This window comes from Homo sapiens, chromosome 11 (genome assembly GCF_000001405.40).
Source record: "Homo sapiens chromosome 11, GRCh38.p14 Primary Assembly".
NCBI lineage: Eukaryota > Metazoa > Chordata > Mammalia > Primates > Hominidae > Homo > Homo sapiens.
In genome coordinates, this window is record NC_000011.10 from 35,706,767 (window position 1) to 35,730,217 (window position 23,451).

At 39.0% G+C, this 23,451-nt stretch overlaps 1 protein-coding gene across 2 annotated transcripts in view, besides 2 other annotated features; it reads left to right on the top strand.

Moving 5' to 3' along the window:
* Positions 1-23,451, top strand: part of TRIM44 (tripartite motif containing 44) — a 155,233-nt gene that overhangs the window by 43,992 nt on the left and 87,790 nt on the right. Inside the window, exon 3 of one of the 2 annotated variants that reach the window (NM_017583.6) lies at positions 19,158-19,397. The exons of the other annotated variant lie outside the window; for it this stretch is intronic. Within the exon in view, the coding sequence (NP_060053.2) occupies positions 19,158-19,397 (240 nt within the window). The remainder of the gene's footprint in view (positions 1-19,157; positions 19,398-23,451) is intronic. 2 annotated transcript variants of the gene reach the window in all.
* Positions 10,403-10,452: an enhancer, noted in NCBI's record as "active region_4626". NCBI's record gives its function as "activates an Ori minimal core promoter by ATAC-STARR-seq in GM12878 lymphoblastoid cells {active_cell/tissue: GM12878}" and the evidence as "EXISTENCE:reporter gene assay evidence [ECO:0000049][PMID:35858748]".
* Positions 15,429-15,528: an enhancer, noted in NCBI's record as "active region_4627". NCBI's record gives its function as "activates an Ori minimal core promoter by ATAC-STARR-seq in GM12878 lymphoblastoid cells {active_cell/tissue: GM12878}" and the evidence as "EXISTENCE:reporter gene assay evidence [ECO:0000049][PMID:35858748]".

The following is a 23,451-nucleotide window of genomic DNA, read 5'->3' on the forward strand; positions in this document are numbered from 1 at the left end:
ATAATAAGAGCTATCTTTGACAAACCCACAGCCAATATCATACTGAATGGGCAAAAACTGGAAGCATTCCCTTTGAAAACTGGCACAAGACAGGGATGCCCTCTCTCACCACTCCTATTCAACATAGTGTTGGAAGTTCTGGCCAGGGCAATTAGGCAGGAGAAGGAAATAAAGGGTATTCAATTAGGAAAAGAGGAAGTCAAATTGTCCCTGTTTGCAGATGACATGATTGTATATCTAGAAAACCCCATTGTTTCAGCCCAAAATCTCCTTAAGCTGATAAGCAACTTCAGCAAATTCTCAGGATACAAAATCAATGTACAAAAATCACACGCATTCTTATACACCAATAACAGACAAACAGAGAGCCAAATCATGAGTGAACTCCCATTCACAATTGCTTCAAAGAGAATACAATACCTAGGAATCCAACTTACAAGGGACGTGAAGGACCTCTTCAAGGAGAACTACAAACCACTGCTCAATGAAACAAAAGAGGATACGAAGAAATGGAAGAACATTCCATGCTCATGGGTAGGAAGAATCAATATCGTGAAAATGGCCATACTGCCCAAGGTAATTTATAGATTCAATGCCATCCCCATGAAGCTACCAATGACTTTCTTCACAGAATTGGAAAAAACTACTTTAAAGTTCATATGGAACCAAAAAAGAGCCCGCATCACCAAGTCAATTGTAAGCCAAAAGGAAAAGCTGGAGGTGTCATGCTACCTGACTTCAAACTATACTACAAGGCTACAGTAACCAAAACAGCATGGTACTGGTACCAAAACAGAGATATAGATCATTGGAACAGAAAAGAGCCCTCAGAAATAACGCCGCATATCTACAACTATCTGTTCTTTGACAAACCTGACAAAAACAAGAGATGGGGAAAGGATTCCCTATTTAATAAATGGTGCTGGGAAAACTGGCTAGCCATATGTAGAAAGCTGAAACTGGATCCCTTCCTTACACCTTATACAAAAATTAATTCAAGATGGATTAAAGACTTACATGTTAGACCTAAAACCATAAAAATCCTAGAAAACCCAGGCAATACCATTCAAGACACAGGCATGGGCAAGGACTTCACGTCTAAAACACCAAAAGCAATGGCAACAAAAGCCAAAATTGACAAATGGGATCTAATTAAACTAAAGAGCTTCTGCACAGCAAAAGAAACTACCATCAGAGTGAACAGGCAACCTACAAAATGGGAGAAAATTTTTGCAACCTACTCATCTGACAAAGGGCTAATATCCAGAATCTACAATGAACTCAAGCAAATTTACAAGAAAAATACAACCCCATCAAAAAGTGGGCAAAGGATATGAACAGACACTTCTCAAAAGAAGACATTCATGCAGCCAAAAGACACATGAAAAAATGCTCATCATCACTGGCCATCAGAGAAATGCAAATCAAAACCACAATGAGATACCATCTCACACCAGTTAGAATGGCGATCATTTAAAAAGTCAGGAAACAACAGGTGCTGGAGAGGATGTGGAGAAATAGGAACACTTTTACAGTGTTGGTGGGACTGTAAACTAGTTCAACCATTATGGAAGTCAGTGAGTGTGGCGATTCCTCAGGGATCTAGAACTAGAAATACCATTTGACCCAGCCATCCCATTACTGGGTATGTACCCAAAGGATTATAAATCATGCTGCTATAAAGACACATGCACATGTATGTTTATTGTGGCACTATTCACAATAGCAAAGACTTGGAACCAACCCAAATGTCCAACAATGATAGACTGGATTAAGAAAATGTGGCACATATACACCATGGAATACTATGCAGCCATAAAAATGAAGAGTTCATGTCCTTTGTAGGGACATGGATGAAATTGGAAATCATCATTCTCAGTAAACTATCGTAAGAACAAAAAACCAAACACTGCATATTCTCACTCACAGGTGGGAATTGAACAATGAGAACACATGGACGCAGGAAGGGGAACATCACACTCTGGGGACTGTTGTGGGGTGTGGGGAGGAGGGAGGGAGAGCATTAGGGGATATACCTAATGCTAAATGACTAGTTAATGGGTGCAGCACACCAGCATGGCACATGTATACAACTGTAACTAACCTGCACATTGTGCACATGTACCCTAAAACTTAAAATATAATAATAATAAAAAATAAATAAAAAATGAAAACACATTAAAATAAATAAATAAACATGCACTGATGTTGCCATGCCCCCCCCCCAAAAAAAAAGAACTTTACTGAGAGGAGGACCTCTACCCCAATCCCTTCCTTTACTCAGGTAAAACGTACCCCATTACTTATCCAAAGTCAGCCAATTGGTGCTGCAGTTTATTTCCTTTGGATGGGGATAGTAACTAAGCTGAAAGATTAGCAGATTTAATTTTTGGAGGCTCTCATTTGTAAATGCACTTCAGTGCATTGTTGTTTATTCAGAACATTCTACTGTAAGTTACCTTTAGTAAGATTTTGTCATTTTCTGTGAGACTTTGCTGCCTCCTGTGCCTAATGCATAAGCCAGAAGGAACTCAGGTTTTCAGAAGTTATGTATCCCATTTTTACATAAAATATTGGCTTTGCTCTCAGATTCCCTTGATTAACCTAGCCAATGATTTTTCCTACCTAAGTGGGCAAGAAAAATGAAACAAAGGGATGAAACAAAAAAATCCTTGCAAATCTTTAAGAGCTAAATTTTATACCCCTAAAATATTACCATTTGCTGTCAGTTTCTTTCTGACCCAGTCAGATGTAAGAGGCCTCTAACTGGATCCAAGCCAATTAATTACCAGACCAAATCCATTCCTGGACCCAGCCCAGTTTCCGTCATGACTTCCAAACCCAGTTTGGTTCAGAAATTTGCTCAAAGAAACTCGGAGAGCTCAAAATGCAAATCCGTGGGGCTCCAAAATCCAAGAGACAACTTACACTCCCCAGCTACTCTGAGAGATCAGAGGACACAAGTGGATCCTGTGGGCACCTTACTTGTTCACTCAGCACTCCTGGGGGTCGTTAGAAGCTATACTTCAGACCCCACTTCTGACACCATTTGTTTAAACAAAAACGTCAGCTGAATTAAATTTAAAGGAGTCTAATTGAAAAATGAACAATTTGTGAATCGGGCAGCCCCCAGAATCACAGCAGATTCAGAGAGACTCCAGGGATGCCTTGTGGTCAGAACAAATTTATAGACCAAAAAAAAGTAAAATGACATACAGAAATTGGAAGTGAGGTACAGAAACAGCTGGATTCATTACAGTTCAGCAGTTGCCTTATTTGCACACAGTTTGAACCCTCAGCAGTGTGTGACTGGATGAAATATGGCTGCTGGGATTGGCGAAGACTCAGTGATTGTTACAGGCGCATACTCCTAAATTAAGTTTTCAATCTTGTCTATTAAGTTAGGTTACAGTTCATCCACAAGGACTCAAATATAGAATTACAGAGTCCTTTTCAGGCCATATTTAGTTTGCTTTATATATATATAGAGAGAGAGCTTTGTATCCTACCTTTTTCACCTAAGGTTATCTCTTATAAATGGATACAATTTTATCATTTGAATCCTGTTCCATTGTTGAACCTCAATTTAGAAAACTGGGATTCTGAACAATAATTTTCCTGTCTACCCTTCAGCATTCTTAGTTGAGACAAACCCTTTTAACAAAGACAGATTATCAAGAGAAAAACAAGTTTATTAACATATATACCTCGTGTGTGCATGTGATACCTAAGGGAAGATAAGTAAATCCCAAAGAGGTAGCTTTGAGTTCAGGCATGAATACCATGGAAGGGAAGGCTAGTTATGGGGAGATGCCCAGGAAAAGCATAGTAAACAAAGGTAAAGTTTATTATGCAGATTTAAGTTGGTGCCTTCTCCATTTATAACATAAAAGAGTTTCTAGTGATTGGAAGTCATCCTTCTCTTCCTGGTATAGAGAGGGAGACAACCCTGCAAATGGAGATTTCCTTTACAGATGTACATTTCTCTTACAAAAGGGTAACTTCCCTTGTTTTCAGTACTTCTCCTGTATTTGCAGTTTCTCCAAATAATCAGCTCAAAACAATTCTTCTGCCAAAGAGGCGTATTTTGGGATGGAATATTCTGGCCTCCTACAGTCATATTTTGGGATAGCATATCTTGAACCCCATCAGTAGTTACTGACAGAAGTTATTCACAAAAGACCAAATATATGATTCTATCTATATGAAATGTTCAGAATAGGCAAATATATAGAGATAGAAAGAGACTCAATACTGTATGGGACTGAGGGAGGTGGAGGAATGTGGGGTGACTGCTAATAGCAATGGGGTTTCTTTTGGGGGTGATGAAAATGTTTTAAAACCAATGGTAATGATAGTTGCACAACTCTGGGAATATACTACAAACCACAAAATTGTATACTTTAAATGGGTAAATTGTAAAATATGTGAATTATATCTCAATAAAACTGTTGAAAGAGAACAAGATTACTGCCTGAATCAGTTTTTTCAACCATTCACTTGAAGTGTCAGCAGTGAATATTAATTTTCTTTTTCCTTTTCTCTTCCTGACAGGGATGAGGGTTAAAAACCTGATGTTGGCCTCTGACAGGAGGAGGCAGTATACTACAATTATTAAAAGTTCAGGAATTGCCCTATCAGCTCAATGCTATCTGACCTTGGGCAAATCTGTGCTTAATCTCTTCATTTCTCAGATTTTTTGTTTTTTTTTTTTTCAGTTCCAAAATAGGGAATAATAGTACATATTTCATAGGTTGTTGGGAAAATAAGTGAGATAATCCTTTTAAAGTGTTGAGTACATTAAGGAGACCCCCCATCTCTACTAAAAATTAAAAAAAAATTAGCCAGGCATAGAGGCACATGCCTATTGTCCCAGCTACTTGGGAGACTGAGGTGGGAGGATCTCTTGACCCCAGGAGATCGAGGCTGCAGTGAGCCATGGCTGTACCACTGCACTCCAGCCTGGGCAACATAGTGAGATCCTGTTTCAAAAAAAGTGCAGAGTACAGCCTCCTATAAATTGTGGCTGCTGTTAGCCTCCAGTCCGGAGAATAACCCTTACTTCCAGCAGAAGGGCAAGGGTACGTGAGGGCACCTTCCTCCCCACAAAGTTCCAGAAACCTTCCAAGCCTTGTAGAGAAAAATAAGCCACCTGTTTATAAATAATTCTATGCTTTGATCAATTAACACTTCCTAGGAATAATGACACCAATTGCATGTTTTAAAGGGCCATTGATACCTGTTTGAGTGATAATGACTTGCAAATAAATTGAGTTCAGTCTCCACTTTTGGGATCCCTTGGTGTGTGGTTTGTTGGCTCACTCACTCTGTGAGTGAACTTGCCTGGCTGCAGAGTAACTGGCAGTAGTTCAGCATAGGTCTGTTGCCTGTTCAAGTCAAAGCAAATGTATCTGCCTTGGGAGTGTGTAGTTGTGTGTCCATATATTCCCAATAGAAAGAAGAAATCAATGCATTGAAGCAAGTATGTTTATTGTTATGAAGCAGACTCCCTAGTTAGCAGAACTGCTTGGTGCCCAACTATAAGAAAAATAAAGAAGTTATTTTAGGAATAACTTTACTTAAAGTTATTTAAGAAACACATTAGGAAATATATTCCCACTTTAAAGTAAACGCTACTGAGATTCTTCACTCCCTACCTCCTCTTCTCCCTTCCCCTGCAGCTTTACCTTATCCTTCTCTTTCTTACTGGAGCCCCAGACCTCCTAATTGAACCACAGCACCAATAGATTATAGTCATTTAAAAACTAAGGTGGGCATGGTTTCCAAGCTGCCTGGTGGACTGGAGCATTGTTACAAAGCAGAGGGATTGAGCTTTAAATGGCTTAATAAAATTAACACTTTGTGATGTCTTCTTCCTCCTGCTCCAGCTCCTCTCTGCACTGACAGGAGACTTGATAGTATACTCTTTGCCAAAAGCTTGAAGGGCTGATTACACAGCGAACCTGGAGAGAGGAGTGAAGCTGTCAGGACTCCCCCATAGCAGCCACGCTTCAGGTTTCCAGTGCAGGATTGTATTTGACAGTTAATTTAGGAGCCGGGGTACCTAGATATAAAACTTTATTGTGATAATAGTGATAAAATCACCCAGACTTTTATTTAAGGGCCTGCTGCTCTCCTGTCCCCCTCCTTCCTCTTTCCCTGTTAGTTCAAGCTCTCATTCAGTTAAAGAAATAAAATCAGATTTGCTCAGGGAAAAAGGTGTTTTCTTTGATATTCTTAGACCAAACCTGCAGAATGCAACTCTCGGTCTACCTCAGATCTATATGTAGATGCTTATACATATATATAAATATAAAATTTGAGAACAGTGCCTCTCTCCTGATTGACTGCATTTAGCCAAAGGGCAGAATTTATCAGGTCTTTACACCTACGAAGAGACATTTCATTCAACCCAGTGATTCAGCTGATGTTCATCCCCTTGTTTAATGACTTTTGTTTACCTCTGCAGCAGGCAAAATAGATTCTACCATGTCTCCCTACTTCCTAACTCAGCCCATTTATTTAGACATTATGATCCCCTTTTATAAATGAAGAAACAAAGATTTAAGAGGTTAAGTGACTTGTTCACGAGGCTAAAGATGCTAGTAAGTTGCCTTTCTATGACTTCTATATAGAAGTTATTAACTTTTGCCTATAGAAGATGTATTGAGAATGGTATTCCAATGTAGTATTTGTTCAGACTTAAGGGTAAAAGTTTACATTGAATATGACATGCTTTTTTTTTTTTTTTGGTGAAAGAGCACAAATATTGGAGTCAGATGACATGAGTCCATATATTTCAGTTTTATCTATAAAGGAGGACTAATCATACTATATTTTTATTAATGAAGATCCTGAAAATGAAAACTTGTGAGGAGATAAGAAACAGTGGAAGATGATTTTGGGGACTTAAATGTATGTTAGCAACTGTAGTTAGTTTAAGAGCACTGTGGTTCTTGGGTAAGCAGGTTGTTAGCTCCTTAAGGGAGTAGAGTAGGGTTTCAGTCTACAAAGAAGAGAAAATACCATGAGAGGCAAGTTGTGAGATTGAGGAGCCAACTACGCCCATAGACTGACTTTGTGTAGGTACAGAGGAACAGAATGTGACCCATCCTTCCTGTGCTTTCTGTACTTTGCTTCTGTATCATTGAAGTAGACTGACCCTGAGATGTTGGGCAGTCAGATCTGATCAAATCAGAAAAGGCAGCCATTGCTCCTTGACACCTTGTGGCCATTTATTTGAAACTGAGGCAAGGAGCCTCAGTATTGATATCTTTACTTTTCAATGCCTAGGATGAGTAGGAAAGTCTTTTAGATGTTCCCTTGGGAAATTAGATCTAAACTCCCAAGGGCATAGGCTCCCTCTTTTCTTTAGGAAAGCTTATTGGGGACTCTTCTTCTGTGAGAGCTCAGTAGATACCATATGGGAGGCACACAATAAAAGTTCACAGTTACTATTATCTCTAATGAGCAGAATGGTTCTGCTGATGGTTCTGTGTGCCCGGAGAGCCCTAAGTGCTTTCCATGTATTATTTTGTGTTAAGTTTAGAAAAATATCTATGAGAATGTTATTATTACCCTCATTTTACAAAGAAACTTTTTATGGAGAAATTTTCACCTTTCTGAGCTTCAGAAGCATGGAGTTAGCAGAACCAGTCCTCAAACCCCTTTCTCTACTCTATCAAAGTCCATATGCTGTACCGTTGTGACCCTATGTAGGAAAGAAGACTCAGCAAACATGAGAGCTACGTCTCAGTGCCCTTTCCTGAGTATTTGTGGCAGTATGCAGTTGTTTTGGTGTTGTGTTTTAATAAAATACAAATAACTGTGGCTTTATAGGGAAACTGCTTGAGAGAACTGGAATGGAGATTGAGTCTTATTTTAAAATTGCTTTAATCTTCAGATAAAATAGGCTTTCTTTGTATATTCAAGTCTAACTTATTTTAAGTCAAGACTTAAAAATAGTATAAATTCTGTATAGTTGCCCCTCAAACTTTCAGTGTCACTTTCCACCTCCCACTTCTACACGATAGTTCCCGAAGCAGAAGTTGTCTTTCTAGTTTATGCATAGGCTAAGGTGTTAAGAAAGCAGGAAAACAAGATGGAATAGAAGCTCTCACCCTTATTCTTGGTTGTTACAAGTCCTGGGTGTCTCTGGGGACACATTCTTCTAGTTTCATATTCCTATAGCAGGGGCCACCCAGAATTTTTTTGTTTGCTCAGAAGTTTGTGATTGCTTTCTTTATTGCCACCCTGGGGTCAGGCAAAGAGAAGCAACTTAAGAGCAAGCATTAGTATTGAGTCATAGTGAACCCAGCATCCCCAGTGAACTGCTTTCTGTTGCATCCAATTCAGTGTCATGTCACTGGGTTACACATCAAGTTGTCATGGCAATAAAGTTATAGCAGCTGACAGTGTGAACAAGCAGCCCTGGGAGGAGAGGATGCTTGGCGGCGATGCCACAGTCATAGTGGTTAGACATCCATCTCTCACGTTAAGGGGTGCTTGCCAGTCAGCTGTGACTGTGTCTCAGGTAACTGGGGAGCACAGTTGCTGTGTACTTCACAGTTATTAGGCCCTTTAAAGTACAAAGCCTCTAGGAAACATGGTCCTGAGCCTATATTATTCTCTCTGTGTATGTGTGTGTGTGTGTGTGTGTGTGTGGGTGTGGGTGTGGGTGTACACAAGGACATGTATATTTATGACTATATGGAGGAGGGAGAACCATGAAGGGAAGGCAATTCAGAAGAAGCATAGGGTCATATTCATGAAGCTGTTAAGGAACAATACAGAATTAGGGCTTAAGTACCAAAATTTATAGTCTTATGAAGAAATATTCTGGCCACAAGTAGAGGAAGGATGGAGTAGTCTGACTGAGATAGGGGGTGTATTAGTCCATTCTTGCATTGGTATAAAGAACTACCTGAGACTGGGTAATTTACAAAGAAAAGAGGTTTAATTGGCTCACGGTTCTGCAGGCTGTACAGGAAGCATAGTGGCTTCTGGGGAGGCCTCAGAAAACTTACAGTCATTGTGGAAGGTGAAGAGGAAGCAGGCATGTCATACGTGGCTGGAGCAGGAGGAAGAGAGAGAGGAAGGAAGTGCTACCCATTTTTAAACCAGATCTTGTGAGAACTCCCTCATTATACAGTACCAAGAGGGATGGTGGTAAATCACTCATGAGAACTCCACCCTTATGATCCAGTCATCTCCCACCAGGCCCCACCTTCAACATTGTGGATTACAATTGAATGTGAGATTTGGGTGGGGACACAGATCCAAACCATATCCAAAAGCATTTGTTTCTGGGAGTCAAAGCTATAAGCCAAGAAAAAGACTATATAAGAGAAAGCTGTGTTCCAAGCACCAAGGCAGAGGGAGTGAAGAGCACATATAATCACTAAGTTTGAAGGGGCCAGAGCTGGGATTTGAGACCAAGAATAGAAAGCCAAGGATTCAAGGCCAAGAGGAAATGAAAAGAGACAGAAAGCTGATCAAGAACAAGTTGGAGTTAGAAGCAAGATGCTAACCAGTGTCCTCAAATCACTCAAGAGTTCTTTGTGACTTTGAATTTTGTTTTAGCAAATTAGTGGTGCAGGGGGCAGTGGGACTAGGTTAAAAGGTCTAAATGGGGTGAGCAGGGGGTGCTAAAGTGGAGCCTCGAAGATGGGTCTAGGTGTTTAGCAGGGAGTATTTGGAAGGGAATACAAATAAAAGAAGGGGATTTTCATGTATATGGGGCAACATCTCTGCAGCCAGACTGGTAAAGGGACACATGTGGGATAGCCTCTGACCTTCAGTCAGAATGTATTGCCCACTGTTTTTTGCAGGGCCCTTAGTTAAAGTGTCATAATTTTTCCTTGAGGTAGTAGTAAGTCAAGAGACCTATTATCTGGTGGAGAAAATAAAACTTGACTCCAGAGTTTGGAGCCTGATAACTGCCTAAATCATGGCGTCATTAAGGGGAATAGAGGAAACAAGTTGACATTTGAAGGGGATCTGTAGGAGAATAATGTTGGGTCAGAAGGCAGATTGTATAATCAAACTATTTGGGTTTAAAATCTGCTACGTACTGTATGCCTGAATTTGGGCAGGTTTCTTACCTCCCTTCTTCAATTTCTTCATCTGTAAATGGGTATAATAATACTAGCCACCTCTTGGCATCATCATGATAATTAATTGCAGTATACACATAAAGTGCTTAGAATAGTGTCTAATATGTGGGGCACTGAAAAAAGGTAGCAGTGATAATGAATGAGGAGGGGAAGGGTTCAGTTTGACGCCTGATGGTTTGGATAATAGAAATGTATCCAGGTAGAGAAGTACATCAGCCAAGAGCAACTGTGAGACTGATTTCCTGTAGAGAAAATCTAGGCATAGGAGCCATCCTTATGGAGGTAGTAGTTGAATTTCCAAAGATGGAATGAAATTGTTAAGGCAGAGTGTAGAGTAGTGCTTCTCTCAGTGGAAAGTGATTTTGCCCCCAGAGGGCGGTGTTTAAAGACTAAGGGGTGTCAATATGCTGAATGCTACAGAGAGGTCAGTAGTGAAATTAAATAGAGTTGGTGACTAGTAGATGCCTTTGTGGTGGGGGAAAAAAGGGTAGCAAGTGTTTGTATGTTACTTTTTTTTTAAAGTCTGGTGTCAAAGGTAGAAGTCAGCTCCCTGTGATTTCATCTCCAACCTGACCAATCAGGACTCCTGACTCCCTGGTCCCCTGTCTGCCAAATTATCCTTAAAAAACCCCAGTCCTCAAATTTTCAAGGAGACTGATTTGAGTAATAATAAAACTCTGGTGTCCTGTTCAGCCAGCTCTGCGTGCATTAAACTCTTTCTCTATTGTAATTCCCCTTTCTTGATAAATTGGTTCTATCTGGGCAGTAGGCAAAGTGAACCCACTGGGCGGTTACAAAACTGTGCCTCTGAGAACCAGGATTAGACCACTGGTAAGCAATTCAGAACAGAGGAAAGCACCAAGATAGAAGCAGAGGCCCCAAATGTCAGTCAGTCATACCAACCAGCTGTGTGATCTTGGGCAAGTAGCTGAATTTCTCAGAGCCTCATTTTTTTTTTTTATTATAAAAAATGAAAAGCCAAACTCAGTTTCCTTTTATCTCTAACATAATATAACTGCATAGATTTTAGACTCTTGAAGGAGTAATTCACTAATCCAGATTTGTCTCTAATCACATCTGTTGCCAAAACAAGAGTGGAGATTCAGGGCACCAGGAATCTAACTCAGTAGTTGTTAGGATGAGATAGCCAAAATAAGAAGTGAAGAAGATAATAGAATAATCTTGTCTTTTGACAATGCTCCTTAGCTGTTTTGGATGTCATTATTTTCATGGGCTTAAATCGAAATGGGCTTTTAAAAACTTTGATTATTCTAGAAAGGGGGAGTCATATTGGGAAGGAAGGGTCTTAAAGGTATTAAATGGGAAGGCAGAGAATGAAAATGTTGACAAATCTGGGTATAAGGTTTAAGCAGAATTATCTTTCCTGGTCCATTTGATGGTCACCCCACCCCCAGATCTTCTCTAGGCTTCTCAGTGGCTATTTAGTTTTCTGTTTTAATTGTATTAGGTTGGTGTAAAAGTAATTGCAGTTTTTGCCAGTGAAATGGCACCAACATAATATTAACATTTTAAAAATAGATATTTTTTAGCATGGTTTTAGGTTAACAGAAAAATTGAATGGAAAATATAGAGAGTTTCCATATACTCCTTCCCCACATGCGTAGCCTCCCCAACTATTATCATCCTGTACTAGAATAGTACATTTGTTTTCATTGGTGAAGCTCTACTGACATATCATTATCACCCAAAGTTTATAGTTTGCATTAGGATTCACTGTTGGTGTTGTATATTGTATGGGTTTTGATAAATGTATATACCATTAAAATATCATACAGAGTAGTTTCACTGCCCTAAAAATCCTCTGTGCTCTGCCTTTTTATTTTCCCTTCCTCCAAACCTCTGGCAACTGATCTTTTTACTGTCTCCATAGTTTTGCCTTTCCTATAATGACATGTAGTTGATTCCAAGCCTTTTAGATTGGCTTCTTTCACATAGTAATATACACTTAAGATTCTCTCATGTATGTTCATGACCTGATAGCTTTTTTTTTTTCTTGTTTTTCTTCTTTTTTTGGTGGGGCGGGGGGGTTGATTAATATTCTGTTGTCTGGATGTACCACAGTTGATTTATTGTTTTACCTACCAAAGAACATCTTGGCTGCTTCCAAGTTTCTGCAGTTATGAATAAAAGTTGCTATAAACATCTGTCTGCAGGTTTTTATGTGGATGTAAGTTTTCAACTCATTTGGGCAAATACCAAGGAGCATGATTGCTAGGTTCTATGGTAAGAGTATATTTAGTTTTGTAAGAACTGCCAAACTGTCTTCCAAGTGGCCTTACCATTTTGCATTCCCACCGCAATGAATGAGATTTTCTGTTCTTCCACATCTTTGCCAGCATTTGATCTTGTTAATGTTTTGACTTGAACCATTCTAATAGGTGTGTATGGAATCTCACTGTTGTTTTAATTTGTAATTTCCTAATGATATATGATGTTGAGCATCTTTTCATGTGCTTATTTGCCATCTGCATATCTTCTTAGTGAGGTGTCTGTTTTTTAATCAGGTTGTTCATTTTCTTATTTTTGAGTGTTTATGGTTCTTAGTATATTTTAGATAACAGTCCATTATTAGATATGTCTTTTATTAGTATTTTTCCCAGTCTGTGGTTTCTCTTCTCTTTCACAGAGCAGAGGTTTTTCATTTTAATGAAGTCCAGCTTATCAATTGTTTTGTTCATGGGTACTAACATTGATGTTACATCTAAAAAGTTATCACTATACCCAAGGTCATCTAGCTTTTTTAAAATGTTATCTTCTAAGAGTTTTATAGTTTTGCATTTTACATTGAGGTCCATAATCCATCTTGAATAAATTTTGGTGAAAATTGGTAAGGTCTGTGTCTAGATTATTATTATTTTTTCATGTGGATGTCTAGTTGTTCCAGCACCATTTGTTCACAACTATCTTTTCTCTATTGTATTACCTTTGCTCCTTTGTCAAAGATCAGTTGACATATGTACCTGGGTCATTTCTAGGCTCTTCATCATGTTTCACTGATCTGTCTACTCTTTTGCTAGTATCACACTGTCTTGATTATTACAGCTTTATAGTAAGACTTGAATTGAGTAGTGGCAGTTCTTCGGCTTTGTTCTTCTTCAATATTGGGTTGACTGTTCTAGGTCTTTTGCCACTCCAAATAAACTTTAGAATCAGTTTGTTGATATCCACAAAATAACTTGCTAGGATTTTGATTGGGATTTTGTTAATCTGTAGATCAACTTTGGAAGACCTGACATCTTGACAATATTGAGCCTTTTTCTCAACATGGAATGTCTATTTATTTCTTCTTTGAATTCTTATATTAGAGTTTTATAGTTTTCCTCTTATAGATCTTGTACGTATTTTGTTAGAATTATACCTAAGTATTTCATTTTTGGAGGTGCTAATGTAAATGGTATTATCTTTTTAACTTAAAATCGCGCTTGTTCACTGCTGGTATATAGGAAGGTGATTGACTTCTGTATATCAGTCTTCTATCCTATAGTCTTGCTGTTGGTTCCAGGAGGTTTTTTTCTTTTTTTTTTTTCCTTTTTTTTTGGTGAATTCTTTCAGATTTTCTACATAGACAATCTTATCATCTGCAAAGACAGTTTTATTTCTTCTTTCCCAATCTGTATACCTTTTATTTCCTTTTCTTGACTTGCTGCGTAAGCTAGGATTTTCAGTACAGTGTTGAAAAGAAAAGGTGAGAGGGGACATCCTTGCCTTGTTCCTCATCTTAGCGGGAAAGCCTTGAGTTTCTGACCATTAAGTGTGTTGTTGGCTGTAGGTAATTGTAGATGTTCTTTATTAAGTGGAGGAAGCTCCCCCCCACCCCATTCCTAGTGTACTGAGAGTTTTTATAATAAATGAGTGTTGAGTTTTGTCAGGTGATTTTTCTGTATCTATTGTGATTTTTCCTCTTTAGCCTGTTGATGTAGATAAATTATATTAGCTGATTTTTCAAATGTTGAACCAGTCTTGCATACTTGGTATATATCCCTCATTTATGTCATGGTATATAATTCTTTTTTTTTTTTTTTTAACAGTCTTGCTCTGTCACCTAGGCTGGAGTGCAGTGGCACCATCTCCCCTCACTGCAACCTCCGCCTCCCAGGTTCAAGCGATTCTCGTGCCTCAGCCTCCTGAGTAGCTGGGATTATAGGTGTGCACCAACACACCCAGCTAAATTTTGTATTTTTAGTAGAAGTGGGTTTTCACCATGTTGGCCGGGCTGGTCTCAAACTCCTGACCTCAGGTGATCCACCCACGTCAACCTCCCAAAGTGCCGGTATTACAGGCATGAGCCACCACACCTGGCCTATAATTCTTTTTATATATGGATTAATTTGACTTGCTAGTATTTTGTTGAGATTTTCTTTAAGCCACATTTCTTTTAAAAAATAGTTTTTAAAAAGTGTTACATGTTATTTTAGAAAATTTGGACTGAGAAGTGAAAAAGAGAAAAGTACTTGTAATTCCACCATTCACAGATAACCACTCTCCAACATTTTGGTATTTATTTTGGTCTTTTATAATGAAAATAATAACAGTAACAACAGCAATAGTAAATACCATTATATTATTTCATTGAGTGGATACCTGAAGTAACTAAGCGGTTAACTGAGATAGAGTTCCAGTGGTAGTACCTTATTAACAAAGTGGAGGTGATGAAAGAAGTAAAGATACAAATGACTGCTTTTGCCTGGAGGCTTCTGAAGAAGATGAGAAAGATAGCTTAATGAAGAGTTTAAATGTTCACTTCAGTAAACTTTTGTCCTTTCATTCTCAATACCCCATTGTAAAACCTGCTCATTTCAGGCTTCTAACTAGGTCGCTGAGGATGACATCACTGAGAATGTTGGTAGTGGAATGCTGTTCAGAGTTTATGTCTACCGTGTTTCTAGGCTGCTGAATAATTTTCTAAGCCTGGTGGGTGGGCAGTTGTTTTATTCACAAATAGTGGCTATTCCACTGATACACAAAAGACACAAGAAATAGGAGATCTTGCCATCCATTGAAAAAGCCTTGACCTCCTTGTTGATGAAGTTTTTCCCTTGCCTGCCCTCACTGGAGTCTGGCCTAAGTTTGGAAGGAGCTGTCTTGGAGTACAATGTAGGAATAAATGCTGAAGGCTAAACAGATGCCTTAACTTTGAACTTCCCAACTTGAAGTTTCCATAGACACTGGCAAGTGGGGAGGACACTGTGCTGTGGGAGTGTGGACAGCTTGTAGCATCTGAAAAAGTTCCATTTCCTGCTTTTTTGTTTTTCTGTTTTAGAACAATGGCCTTTCAAATGAGGAAGAGGGAAGTGAAAATGGACTTTTTGGGGAGATATTTAGAGTCTTCAAACTCTATTTCATGCAGTCTACAATTTTTAAAGTTATTTTTGGAGTAGTCTCCTTAACACCTTGCAGGAAATTTGGCTTGTAGGACTGTTACCAAATAGGGGTCCTGACCCAGACCCCAGAGAGGGTTCTTGGATCTTGCTCACGAAAGAATTCAGGGCGAGTCCATATAGTGAAATGAAAGCAAGTTTATTAAGAAAGTAGAGGAATGAAAAAATGGCTACTCCATAGGCAGAGCAGCCCCAAGGGCTGCTGGTTGCCTATTTTTATGGTTATCTCTTGATCATATGCTAAGCAAGGGGTGGATTATTCATGCCTCCCCTTTTTAGACCATATAGAGTAACTTCCTGGCATTCCCATGGTATTTGTAAACTGTCATGGTGCTGGTGGGACTGTAATGGTGAGGACCACCAGAGGTCATTCTCATCGCCATCCTATTTTAGTGGGATTTGGCCAGCTTCTTTACTGCAAACGTGCTTTATCAGCAAGGTCTTTATGACCTGTATCTTGTGCCGACCTCTTATCTCATCCTAAGAATGCCTAACCTTCTGGGAAGGCAGCCCAGTAGGTCTCAGTCTTATTTTACCCAGCCTGTATTCAAAATGGAGTGGCTTTGGTTCAGACGCCTGTGACAAAACAAATGTTTCTGAAATATTCAGTGTAGATTTGGATGCTTCTCTTTTGAGTAGCTTCCTGCTCCTAACCCTGACCATTATTCTCAGTTCATCTCAGCAATACTTTTCTGAAACAAATTGTTTTTCAATCTCTCTCTCTTTCTCTCTCTACCTCCCTCCTTCTGTCTCTCTCTACCTCCCTCCCTCCCTCTCCCCCTTCCAACTCTCTCCCTCCCTCGTCTCTCTCTCTCTTTCTCTATCTCTCCTTCTCTTTCTTTTTCTTGTTTCGACAGATTCTCATTTATAACTCTTTTGAAATGATGAGTTGTAAAAGTACATTAGACTGGACCAGAGGAAAGTTTCTAAACCTAACTTTATTATCGTACTTCTCTGTGACTTTTTTTCCCCTTCACCTATAAAATTAGAAGGTTAGATTCAGATGTTCAATAGGTAGTTCTGACCATACAGTGGTCAAAATTTTCAAATTGCAGTGCTATGTTATAATTTCAATACAATGCTATGTTTAATCATATTCCACTTCACCCTAATGCAACTATAACAAAGATATATCAGCTTGATTGTAACTAACATGCCAAAGGTTTTGATGTCTTAGGTTGGAAAATGCTTATTTGTTAATTAGAGAATGAGAGTGGGAAAAAGGCATAAAGGTTTTGTAAAGCGGATTATTTTTTCCTTCAGTTTTCATTTGTGACCTGATCTGTATAAAATACAGTGTCATGCTGAAAACCCTATGTAATTAAAGCCATGGGAAATAGAGAATTTTAAAATCCATGACTCATTCACCTGCTGCAGTCTGGCCCACACCTTTACTAAGTGAGATGTCAGCTTCCTAACTGAACCACATGTGTATGTGAAGTCTAGTAAAATAGGTTGTGAGTCAGTTTTTATTATGATATCCATTTTTAGTTACTGGTAGCCATTAAGAGAGTTTCTCAGGCATTCAGAAAAGTCCATCCCTTAGTGAAAAGGTTTGGTCTCTGAGAGAAGGACCTAGTCATTTGAGACTCAATTTATTTCAGGAGTAGAGATCCATTGATCAATGATCACTGTAAAGCATAATAGCCCTAAAATACATACACTAAAAATAAAAAGGAATTATATAAACACAAATCACAGTTCTCAATCTGATACAGAATTTACAGGGACATTAATAACATTTAATACACTTTCCCATTTTCTCCAGCACCAAGGAGAGCACCTGCAGAGAGTATATGAGGGCTTATGACACTTAGTCACTTGATGTGTGAGCAGATACATGTCATACAGGCCTTATTTTGCACTGATGTCCTTAGTAGTGTTACAAAAGCTGCGTAAGGTATCAAGCTTCTTTCGGTTTCTAAGGGGCTAATTAAAAATTAATCTGCTACCCCCTCCTGTAGGCTTTGTCTTTCACAGTTTCCTTTCTTAGGTTTTCCCAGTTTGACTTCCCTTCTGGCAGACTTTTATAGTGAACAGAGCACCAGACTGAGAACAAGAAGATTGGAGTCTTTCCCTCTTCTACAGGTTTGCAACCGTGTCCATTTCCTTATCTGTAAAAGGAAGGGGTTCATTTAGATGACAACTGTTTTCTCTTCCAGTTCTAAAATCCTCCATTGGCTTTTCTTCTGCCTTTCTCCTTTTGTCTACGGTTTACTTCTTCCCTGCTCCCTATCTCAGCTACACTCATAATATGCATAGTTGTTTTAAAATAATCATAAAATAAACATGGTTGTGAGGAAACATCAATAAATACAGTTGCTGGTAAAATTTGGAGTTTAGAAGTTCTCATTTTGATAATTTCTCACTTTGTTAGCCTTTCTTATGCCCTAAGCATAAATATAGCTAGCAGTTGTATTTTCTTTGGTTTGCAGTTGTTATAAAATAAAACAATAATATATTTGCACCCATGATAGTAAAAGTTTAAAAGCTTGATATAATCCAGTATTGGCAAGGGTGTAGGAAAATGCTTACTTTCATATGTTGTTGTAGGAATGTAATCAATACATCTTTCTCAGAAGGCACCTTGGCAGTATGAACCAATATTTTTAGAGTATATGCCAATTTACTAAGTGGCTCTAAACATCTTTAAAAAACTCATATGCGTATATTAAGAGATATAGCCAAGGATGTTTATTGCTGTGTTGTTTATAAAAGCAAAAATTTGGAAATATCCTGTACTTCCATTAAGAGAGGAATGGTTAACTAGGAGACATGCACACACTCACACACACACACACACACACACACACACACACACACACCCTCCATCTCCATATCATACAGATAGTAAAAATAGTAGAATGAAGTTGATCTGTATGCACAAATATATCTTAAGTAGAAAAGTAAGACAACCATATTTTCCCTATGATTCATTTATATAAAAACTACTTAATTATCTATATACATATATGTACATAACTATATAGAAAAATGGCTGGGAGGATACATACCAAACTATTAACAGTAATTGGGGCGGAGAGGAAGAATTTCGTTTTTTGTTTTGTTTTGAGATGGAGACTTGCTCTGTTGCCCAGGGTGGAGTGCAGTGGTGCGATCTGGGCTCACTGCAACCTCCACCTTCTTGGTTCAAGCAATTCTCCTGCCTCAGCCTCCCAAGTAGCTGGGATTACAGGCACCCACCACCATGCCCAGCAAGTTTTTTTGTATTTTTAGTAGAGACAGGGTTTCCTCATGTTGGCCAGGCTGGTTTCGAACTCCTGACCTCAAGTGATCCAGCCGCCTTGGCCTCCCAAAGTGCTAGGATTACATTCATGAGCCACCACGCCCGGCCTCATTTTTTACTGTATATATTCATCGTATATATTACTGGTATAAAAATGAACAAAACCGAAAGGAAAAAAGGATAAGAAATTACTCCCTGAAGAATGAAAAAGGCAAAAAGATTAGCAGGAAATTCATCAATGATATTAGGGGAACATTGTTTTTAGGATATTCCCAAAACTTTAGGATTGGATAGGATCCATGGTGTGTATTTTGGCCAGGGCTGTATAGTAATAACTCTGCCCTTTTGTTTCTTTGTATGTTCAACTTATTCTTCTTATTTGTCTCTGTTCTAAAGGTAACTCGGGACCAAATGAAGATGTTTATACAGCAGGAATTTAAGAAAGTTCAGAAAGTGATTGCTGATGAGGAGCAGAAGGCCCTTCATCTAGTGGACATCCAAGAGGCAATGGCCACAGCTCATGTGACTGAGATACTGGCAGACATCCAATCCCACATGGATAGGTTGATGACTCAGATGGCCCAAGCCAAGGAACAACTTGATACCTCTAATGAATCAGCTGAGCCAAAGGCAGAGGTAAAGGAAAAGCCCATAATTATTAGTAGCAAGAGAAATAGGAGGAAACTGATGCCATATTTGTTAGACCCCATGTGGTCCCTGAACGTGAATGAATTGAAGTCTAGGTAGAGTATAAGTGTTTCACATGGTGTATAAACCAGTATGGAAGTATTGGCCACTAGTTTACTCAGTGGCTGGGCCTACCAAATTATTTATCCATCATTACTTTAAGGAGTATAGTCAGTGGGGGCAGATACTAATCACAATTAAGAAAGGAAGCCAAAAATTACAGCCAGAGAAGAGGGCAAGCGACAGACCCCAAGTTGTGAAATGAGCCTTTAAAGTCATCATAGACCTGGGCTGAATGAGAACAAATCATGAAGTAGAGCATAAAGCAGGCCAGAATGAAAGATTTTGGACTTACTTTGTACATAGTGAAAAGGTGTCTCAAGCTGGTTGTTATATGGAGCCAGCTGCATAAATTGGAGGCATAACTGCTGGATTAAGAATGGCATGTGCACTAGGGCATTGTAAGATTAAAAAAAAAAAAAAACTATGAATGAAAGACACAAGGTAAATGTTGAATCACTATACAAATGTTAGTTGTCATATTCATTGTTATTTTTAACGGGAATAAAAGGGTCTTAGGCATTTTACCAAACAACATATTTAGGCATTTTGAATCTACTTTGAAAAAATTATTTAAGGTAGCCATTAAAAAAAAAAAGTACAAGCTGGGCTCAGTGGCTCACGCCTGTAATCCCAGCACTTTGGGAGGCTAGGGTGGAAGGATTGCTTGAGTCCAGGAGTTTGAGACCAGCCTGGGCAACATAGTGAGACCCTGTGTCTACAAAAAAAAAATAAAAAAGTAGCAGACATGGTCTCACCTGCCTGTAGTCCCAGCTATTCAGGAGAGGTAGGAAGATTACTTGAGCCCCGGAGGTTGAGGCTGCAGTGAGCTGTGATTGTGCCATTGCACTCCACCCTGTGTGACAGAGTGAGATCCTGTCTCAAAAAAAAAAAAAAACCAAAAAACTTATATTTCAGCCACTAGAGAGAGGCTACTATTAATCAGATTTCATAATTTGACAATTCTAGTGAAGGTAATGCCAGATAGGTTTAGGGTAGGTCCTTCTAGAAAAAAAACATAGGAGAGTCCTGTGGACTTTCTAGGACTGTTGCTGACTCAGCAAGTCCATCCTTAACTGGACGTCCTGCCTTGGCTTGAGAGAGCCTGGCCACAGAATAAACTGGCCAGTAGAAGAGCCAAAGTAATCCAGGAGGCAGGTATTTCCAAGCTATCCTGACAGGAAATGTAAGAAACCATTGAAAGGTATCTGCTATACCCATCCAGGGCTTTTGATTAATTTTCATCAATGTGTGAAAAGAATAACTCTTCTTCTTTTCATTTTATTCTCCCCATAATTGAGAAATTATGTGCCTACATAAGTTTCTAGATAGGCAAGAGAGCACTTTATATTCATCATTTCATTTAATCCTTACGTCAGCATTAACTCCATTTTACAAATGGGATATTTGAGATACAGAGAACTGCAGAGATACTGACCCAATATCATTTAGTCAGTAGAAAATAGAGCCAGGGTTTAGATTTAAGTCTGTGCTATTTCAGTGCCTGTGCTTTCCCCCTACTATAAGACATATGCTAAGCATCCCATCTGTATCTGTGGGAAAATGAGAAGAATCCATGTTCTAGACAGCTTTGCATACCTTTACAATGTCAAGATGGTCAGTTTGTGTCTTAATAAACAAAAGGTTCAACCAGAGTTAATTCAAGGGATCGACAGCATAATTCTGTCCACAGTTCCTATCAAGTTCGACCCCTTCATTTATTCCCTATGTTGATTAGGTTGTTCTTTGAAAAATAAAAATTTAATTTTGGCTAGGCGTGGTGGCTCACGCCTGTAATCCCAGCACTTTGGCAGGCCGAGGTGGGAGGATCACCTGAGGTCAGGAGTTTAAGCCTGCCCTGGCCAACATGGCAAAACCCTGTCTGTACTAAAAATAGAAAAATTAGCTGGGTATGGTGGCGAGCACCTGCAGTCCCAGCTACTTGGGAGGCTGAGGCAGAAGAATCGCTTGAACCCAGGAGGTGGAGGTTGCAGTGAGCCAAGATTGCAGCCACTGCACCCCAGCCTGGGAGACAGAGTGAAACTCCATCTCAAAAAAAAAAGTTTAATTTTGGGGTTTATTCTTCTCTTTTATTTTAATCTATGAATTTAGTCCTTCTCTGACATTAGCTGTCCTTTAAGCACCTCAGCTGTACTATGCTTGTTAACTCTGATGGAATTACTCTTAAAGGGATGCAAGAGCTGACAAGGCTTAAGGACCAGGCTACAGACAAAATGAGCTATTAAAAACAGAGATAGCGTTCAGCCACTAGAGTGTTTACAAAGAGCTGTTATTATTTAATAGCCTCTTGTTCCAGTTAATCTGGTAACTTATTGGTGAGAGCAAATATCTAGTACCTGTCTTTCAGTCATCAGAGGAATTATGTTCTTTTTGTGGTATAGAATTTATCAAAAATCACCTGCATTTTGAATTCAGCCATAAGACCTTCCCTCCAACATTTTATTATAAAATTTTTTAAACATACACCACAGTTGAAAGGATTTTACAGATTATGCCTATGTACCTACCACCTAGATTCTCCTATTAACATTTTGCCGTACTTGCTTCATTACATATCTAGCCATCTTTTCAACCTTCCACTCACTGATCTATTTTATTTTTGGCATATTTAAAGCAAATTGCAGCTTCTGGTTCTGAGCAAGATGGAGTAAACACATTCTATTTTACTCCTTTCACTTATTACAGTAGAAATCTCTGGGCAAAAATGCTGAAATCATCTACCAAAAGACTCTTGCAGGTGGAAAAAAGATGGCATACTGATCAGGGACCTTGGGATTTGAGAGGATACAAGGCAGTGAATTCCCTGGGGTTTTCTTTACTTCCTATGTATGCTAGCCTGGGTGTTCTACAAACTGGAAACACTAATACACACAGACAAAAAAAAAATACCCAAGAAAAGCCTGCTTCTGGAAGCAAACATCATGAAAAAAGTGGCACTGCTCCTCAACCCCAATTGGCACGCAGCAGTGGAGCCAGTGAGTGAAACTCACTCATTTTATATATGCCCTATGTTAATGAGGTATCTTTCTCTATGGAGCCTGTGGGTGAAACTCTTACTTCTACCTTTGGCCCTGCTCCTCCCAGTAATGAGTGGAACCCATCTCCTATGCATCCGTAGGTGGAACTCTGACTTCTGCCGTACCCTGCAGTAATAGTACGGAGGAAGTAGTACCTCTTCGTTTTGGAGACTGTAGATAGAGCTCTAACTCCTCCCTCTCACCCCTGCATTAACTAGGCTATGCACTTCCCCAGCTGAGTCAGTTATTGGAATTTTATCATTCACTCCTGCCCTGTAGTAATGATTTGGTTTCCCTCCTCCTCCCCAACTAGCTCTGTGGAGAATGTAGAATGGAGTCCTGTCATTTGAGTGGGGCAGACAAGAATAGCACTGTAGAGGCTTTATAAACTTAAGGTGACATATGAACCATAGTTCACAAAAAGGATCCAGGACATGCATTCTGAATCTAAACAGGTTGACTGCTAAAATAGAAGATTTAAATAGGAACTAGGTTTTTATAATATAACTCATCATGTCCAGGATACAGACCAAAGAACCAATAAAAATCTCAATTCTGTAAGCCCGAGGCAAGAGGATCGTTTGAACCCAGGAGGTTGAGGCTGCAGTGATCTGTGTTCACAGCACTATACCCCAGTATGGGTGACAGTGCAAGACCCTGTCTCAAAAATAAAATGAAATGAAAATCTCAATTCTAAGGAGAAAAGAGAATTGATATATGCTAACTCTAAGATGGCATAGATGTAGGAATTAAAAGACAAAGATTTTAACCTGCTGTTATAAGAATGTTTCAGTGAGCAATTACAAGCACTCTGGAAATAAATGAAAACCTCAATAAAGAAATAAAGATATTAAAAAGTACCAAATGAAAATTTTAGAACTGAAAAATACAGTAACTGACACCAA